Source organism: Homo sapiens, chromosome 11, assembly GCF_000001405.40.
Source record: "Homo sapiens chromosome 11, GRCh38.p14 Primary Assembly".
Taxonomy (NCBI): Eukaryota; Metazoa; Chordata; class Mammalia; order Primates; family Hominidae; genus Homo; species Homo sapiens.
In genome coordinates this window covers 101,311,111-101,317,926 of record NC_000011.10, presented here as the reverse complement: position 1 = coordinate 101,317,926, position 6,816 = coordinate 101,311,111, and positions in this window count along the sequence as shown.

The following is a 6,816-nucleotide window of genomic DNA, read 5'->3' as shown; positions in this document are numbered from 1 at the left end:
AGCCTGACAATGCAATAGGAAAGAAAACCCCATTTTCTGAGGAGAAATTCCAGCAGACTGCAGAAATTTGCAGAAATAACAAGGAGCCAAATGCTGCCAAAACAATGGGGAAAATGTCTCCAGGGCATGTCAGAGGTCTTCATGGCAGCCCTTCCCATCACAAACCTGGAGGCCTAGAAGAGAAACATGGTTTCATGGGCCAAGGCCAGAGTGACCATGCTGTGTGCAGCCTAGTGACTTTGTGCCCTGCATCCCAGCAACTTCAGCCACGGCTAAAAGGGGCCCAGGTTCAGCTCTGGCCATGGCTTCAGAGGGTGCAAGCACAAAGCTTTGGCAGTTTCCATGTGATGTTGAGCCTGCAGGTACACAGAAGTCAAGAATTGAGGTTTGGGAACCTCTGCCTATATTTCAGAGGATGTATGGAAATGCCTGGATGTCCAGGCAGAAGTTTGCTGCAGGGGGTGGGCCTTCGTGGAGAACCTCTGCTAGGGCAGTGCAAAAGGGAAATGTTGGGTTGGAGCCCCCACACAGAGTCCCCAATGGGGCACTGCCTAGTGGAGCTGTGAGAAGAGGGCCACTGTCCTCCAGCCCCTAGAATGGTAGATCCACTGACAGCTTTCACTGTGCTCCTGGAAAAGCCACAGACACTCAATGCTGGCCCATGAAAGCAGGCAGGGAGGAGGCTGTACCCTGCAAAGCCAAAGGGGCAGAGCTGCCCAAGACCATGGGAACACACCTCTTGCATCAGTGTGACCTGGATGTGAGACATGGAGTCAAAGGAGATCATTTTGGAGCTTTAAGATTTGACTGCCCCACTGGATGTCAGGCTTGCATGGGGCCTTTAGCCCCTCTGTTTTGGCCAATTTCTCCTATTTGGAATGGTGTATTTATCCAGTGTCTGTACCCCCATTGTATCTAGGAAGTTACTAACTTGCTTTTGATTTTACAGGCTCATAGGCAGAAGGAACTTACCTTGTCTCAGATGAGACTTTGGACTGTGGACTTTTGAATTAATGCTGAAATGAGTTAAGACTTTGGGGAACTGTTTGAAACGCATGATTGGTTTTGAAATGTGAGGACATGAGATTTGGGAGGGGCCAGAGTCAGAATGATATGGTTTTGCTGCATCTCCACCCTAATCTCATCTTGAATGTGGCTCCCACAATTGTCATGTGTCGTGGGAGGGACCTGGTGGCACGTAGTTAAATCCTAGGGGTGGGTCTTTCACATGCTGTTCTCATGAGATTGAATAAGTCTCACGAGATCTGATGGTTTTATAAGAACATGCTGTGTGCAGCCTAGTGACATGGTGCCCTGCATCCCAGCAACCTCTTCACATGTTTTCTCATTTTCCTTTTGCCTGCCACCATGCAAGATGTGCCTTTTACCTTCTGCCATATTGTGAGGCCTCCCCAGCCATGTGGTGTGTCAATTAAACCTTTTTTTTTGAGACAGAGTTTTGCTCTGTCATCCAGGCTAGAGTGCAGTGGCATGATCTAGGCTCACTGCAACCTCCACCTCCTGGGTTCAAGTGATTCTCCTGCCTAAGCCTCCTGAGTACCTAGGACTACAGGTGCATGCCAACACACCCGGCTAATTTTTGTATTTTTAGTAGAGATGGGATTTCACTGTGCTAGCTGGGATGGTCTTGATCTCCTGACCAAACCTCTTTTTCTTTATAAATTACCCAGTCACAGGTATGTCTTTATCAGCAGCCTGAAAATGACCTAATACAATTACAATAACTTTTCAGGACATAGTACAAGAAGATATAAAGAGAAAAAACAAAAAGTTAAAAAAATTGGGCAATGAAGTTAAAGAGTATAATCTTTGTTAGTTTTCTTTTGGGGTATTTGCTTGCTTGTTTATGCAATCAGTGTTAAGTTGTCGTTAGTTTAAAGTAATGGGCTATAAGATAGTATTTGCAAGCTTTATGGTACCCTCAAATAAAAAAAACACACAATGAATACATAAAATATAACAAACAAGAAATTAAAAAATAATACCAAAAATTCACCTTCACTAAAAAGAGGACAAGAAGGAAGAAAAACTGGAAGAGAAGACTACAAAACAACTAGACAACAAATTACAAAATGACAGGAGTAAGTCCTTACATATGAATAATAATATTGAATGTAAATGGACTAAACTTGCCAATAAAAAGACATACAGTGGTTTAATAAATGAAAAAAGAGAACCAATGTTCTGTTACCTACAAGAAACACACTTCACCTATAAAGACACATATAGACTGAAAATAAAGGGATGGAAAAAGATATTCCATGCCAATGAAAACCAAAAAAGAGCTGGAGTAGCTATACTTATGTCAGACAAAATGGATTTTGAGACAAAAACTGTAAATAGAGACAAAGGAGGTCAGTATATAATGATAAAGGGATCAATTCAGCATGAAGATGTAATGATTGTAAATATATATGATCCCAACACTGGAGCACCCAGCTATATAAAGCAAATATTATTAGAGCCAAAGATGGACCTCAACACAATAATAGCTGTAGACCTCAGCACCCTACTTTCAGCATTGGACAGGTCTCCCAGACAGAAAATCAACAAAGAAACTTCAGACTTAATATGCACTATAAATAAAACTGGTAGATATAATATTTACAGAACAGTGGCTACAGAATACACATTCTTCTCCTCAGTACATGGATTATTCTCAAGGATAGACCATATGTTACATCACAAAACAATTCTTAAAGCATTCAAAAAATTGGGGTAATATCAAGCATCTTCTCTGACCACAATGGAATACAACTAGAAATTAATAACAAGGAATTTTGGGAACTATACAAACACATGGAAATTAAACAACATGTTCCTGAATGATCAATGGGTATATAAAGAAATTAAGAAGAAAATTGAAAAATTTCTTGAAACAAAAAATAATGAAAATACAGCATATCAAAACCTATGGGATGCAGTGAAAGCAGTACTAAAAGGAAAATTTATAGCAAAAAGTACCTATATCAAGAAATAGAAAAAGACTTCAAATAAATAACCTAATTATGCATCTTAAAGAACTAGAAAAGCAAGAGCAAACCAAACCCAACATTAGTATAAGAAAAGAAATAATAGGGATCAGAGAAAAAATATGTAAATTAGAAATGAAGAAAGCAATACAAAAGATCAATGAAACAAAAAGTTCATCTTTTGAAGTGATAAACAAAATTGACAAACCTTTGGCCAGACTAATGAAGGAAAAAAAAGGGAGAAGACCCAGGCCAGGCACAGTGGCTCATGCCTGTAATCTCAGCACTTTGGGAGGCCAAGGTGGGCAGATCACTTGAGGTCAGGAGTTCATGACCAGCCTGGCCAACATGGTGAAACCCCGTCTCTACTAAAAATACAAAAATTAGCTGGGCATAGTGGTGAGTGCCTGTAATCCCAGCTATTAGGGAGGCTGAAACATGAGAATTGCTTGAACCTGGGAGGTGGAGGTTGCAGTGAGCCGATCGTGCCACTGCACTCCAGCCTGGGAGACAAGAGCGAAACTCCGTCTCAAAAACAATCAAACACACACACACAAAAACAAAAACAAAAGGGAGAAGACCCAAAAAAATAAAATCAAAGGTGAAAAAGGAGACGTTATAACTGGTACCACAGAAATTCAAAAAAACCATCAGTTGCTACTATGAGCAATTATATGCCAATAAATTGGAAAATGCAGAGGAAATTCATTAATTCCTGAACACATACAATCTACCAAGATTAAACCATGAAGAAATTCAAAACCTAAACAGAACAATAAAAAGTAATGAAGCTGTAGTAAAAAGTCTCCTAGCAATGAAAAGCCCAGGACCCAATGGCTTCACTGCTGAATTCTACCAAAGATTTAAAGAAGAACTAATACTAATCCTACTCAAACTATTCCAAAATATAGAAGAGGAGGGAATACTTCTAAACTCATTATACAAGATCATTATTACCATGATACATAAAACAGACAAAGATATATCAAAAAAAAAAAGAAAACTACTGGCCGATGTCTGTGATGAATATTGCAGAAAAATTCTGAACACAATACTAGCAAAATTAACACAACAATACATTAAAAAGATCATTCATCATGACCAAGTGGGATTTATTCCAGGGATGCAAGGATGGTTCAACATACACAAATCAATCAATATGATACATCCTATCAACACAATGAAGTATAAAAACCATATTATCACTTCAATTAATGCTGAAAAAGTATTTGATAAAATTCATACCTCTTCATGATAAAAACCCTCAAAAACATGAATATAGAAGGAATATACCTCAACATAATAAAAACCATACATATCAGACCCACAGCTAGTGTTATACTGAATGGGGGAAAACCAAAAGCCTTTACTCTAAGATCTAAAACATGACAATAATGCCCACTTTCACCACTGTTATTCAACATTCTATTCATCAGCACATGCAACATTCTCCAAGATAGACCATATGTTAGGCCACAAAATGAGTTGCAGTAAATCTAAGAAAGTCAAAATTTTATTAAGCACTCTCTCAAACCACAGTGGAATAAAATTGGAAATCAACTTCAAAAGGAACCCACAAAACCATGCAAATACATGGAAATTAAATAGACTGCTGCTGAATGATCATGGGATCAACAATGAAATCCAAATGAAAATTTAATAATTATTTGAACTGAATAATACTGACAAAACCTACAAAATCTCTGGGATACAGCAAAAGTGGTGCTAAGAGGAAAATTCATAGCATTAAATACGTACATCAAAAAGTCTGAAAGAGCACAAATAGACAATCTAAGGTCACACCTTACAGAATTGGAGAAACAAGAACAATCCAAATCCAAACCCAGCAAAAGAAAAGAAATAACAAAAATCAGAGCAGAACTAAATGAAATTAAAACAAAAAATACAAAAGACAAATGAAAAAAAAGCTAGTTCTTTGAAAAGGTAAATAAAACAGGCCATTAGCAAAATTAACCAACAAAACAAGAGAGAAGATCCAAATAAACTCAATTAGAAATGAAACAGGAGATCTTATTACTGATTCCACAGATATACAAAAGATTATTCAACATTAATCTGAACACCTTTATGAACATAAACTAGAAAACCTAGAGGAGATGGATAAATTCCTGGAAAGATACAACCCTCCTAGATTAAACCAGGAAGATATAATAACTCTGAACAGACTAACAACAAGCAGCAAGATTGAAATGGTGATTAAAAAATTGTCAACAAAACAGAAGTCCAGGATTAGATGGATTCACAGCTGAATTCTATCAGATACTCAAAGAAGAATTGGTGCCAATCCTACTGATACTATCCCACAAGATAGAGAAAGAGGGAATCCTCCCTAAATTATTCTATGAAGCCAGTATCACCCTAATGCCTAAACCAGGAAAGGACATAGCAAAAAAAGAAAACTACAGACCAATATCCCTGATTAACATATAATAGATGCAAAAATCCCTAACAAAATACTAGCAAACCGAATCCAGCAGCATATCAAAAAGATAACCCATCATGATCAAGTGGGTTTGATACTAGGGATGCAGGGATGCTTTAACATACATAAGTCCATAAATGTGATACTCCATATAAACAGAATTAAAAACAAAAAAATCAATGTTCATCTCAATAGATGCAGAAAAAGCATTTGACAAAATCCAGCATCGCTTTATGATTAAAACCCTCAGCAAAATTGGCATACAAGGGATATACCTCAATGTAATAAAAGCCATCTATGACAAACCCACAGCCAACATTATACTTATTGGGGAAAAGTTGAAAGCATTCCCTCTGAGAACTGGAACAAGACAGGGATGCCCACTTTTTGTCCAGAACAATCGGACAAGAGAAAGAAATAAAGGACATCCAAATCAGTAAAAAGGAAGTCAAATTTTCGCTTTTTGCTGATGATATGATTGCATAACTAGAAAACCCTAAAGACTCATCCAAGAAGCTCCTAGAACTGGTAAATGAATTCAGCAAAGTTTCAGGATACAAAATTAATGTACACAAATCAGTAGCTCTCCTATACACCAATAGCAACCAAGTGGAGAATCAAATCAAGAACTCAAGCTCTTTTATAATAGCTGCAAAAAATAAAATAAAATACTTAGGAATATACCTAATCAAGGAAGAAAAGACCTCTACAAGGAAAACTACAAAACACTACTGAAAGAAATCATAGATGACACAAACAAATGGAAACACATTCCATGCTCATGGATGGGTAGAATCAATACTGTGAAAATGACCATACTGCCCAAAGCAACCTACAAATTCAGTGCAATTCCCATCAAAATACCACCATCATTCTCTTCAAAGAACTAGGAAAAAAACCCTAAAATTCATATGGAATCAAAAAAGAGCCCACATAGACAAAGCAAGACTAAGCAAAAAGAACAAATCTGGAGGCATCACATTACCCAACTTCAAACTATGCTGTAAGGTCATAGTCACCAAAACAGCATGGTACTGGTATAAAAATAGGCATATAGACCAATGGAACAGAATAGAGAACCCAGCAATAAAGCCAAATACTTACAGCCAATTCATCTTCGACAAAGCAAACAAAACATAAAGTGGGGAAAGGACATCCTATTCCACAAATGGTTCTGGCATAAGTTGCAAGCCACATGTAGAATAATGAAACTATATATATATATAAAATGGATGGAATTGGAGACTATTATTCGAAGTGAGGTAACTCAGGAATGGAAAACCAAACATTGTATGTTCTCACTCACAAGTGGGAGCTAAGCTATGAGGACACGAAGGCATAAGAATGACACACTGGACTTTGGGGGAAAGGGTGGGAGGG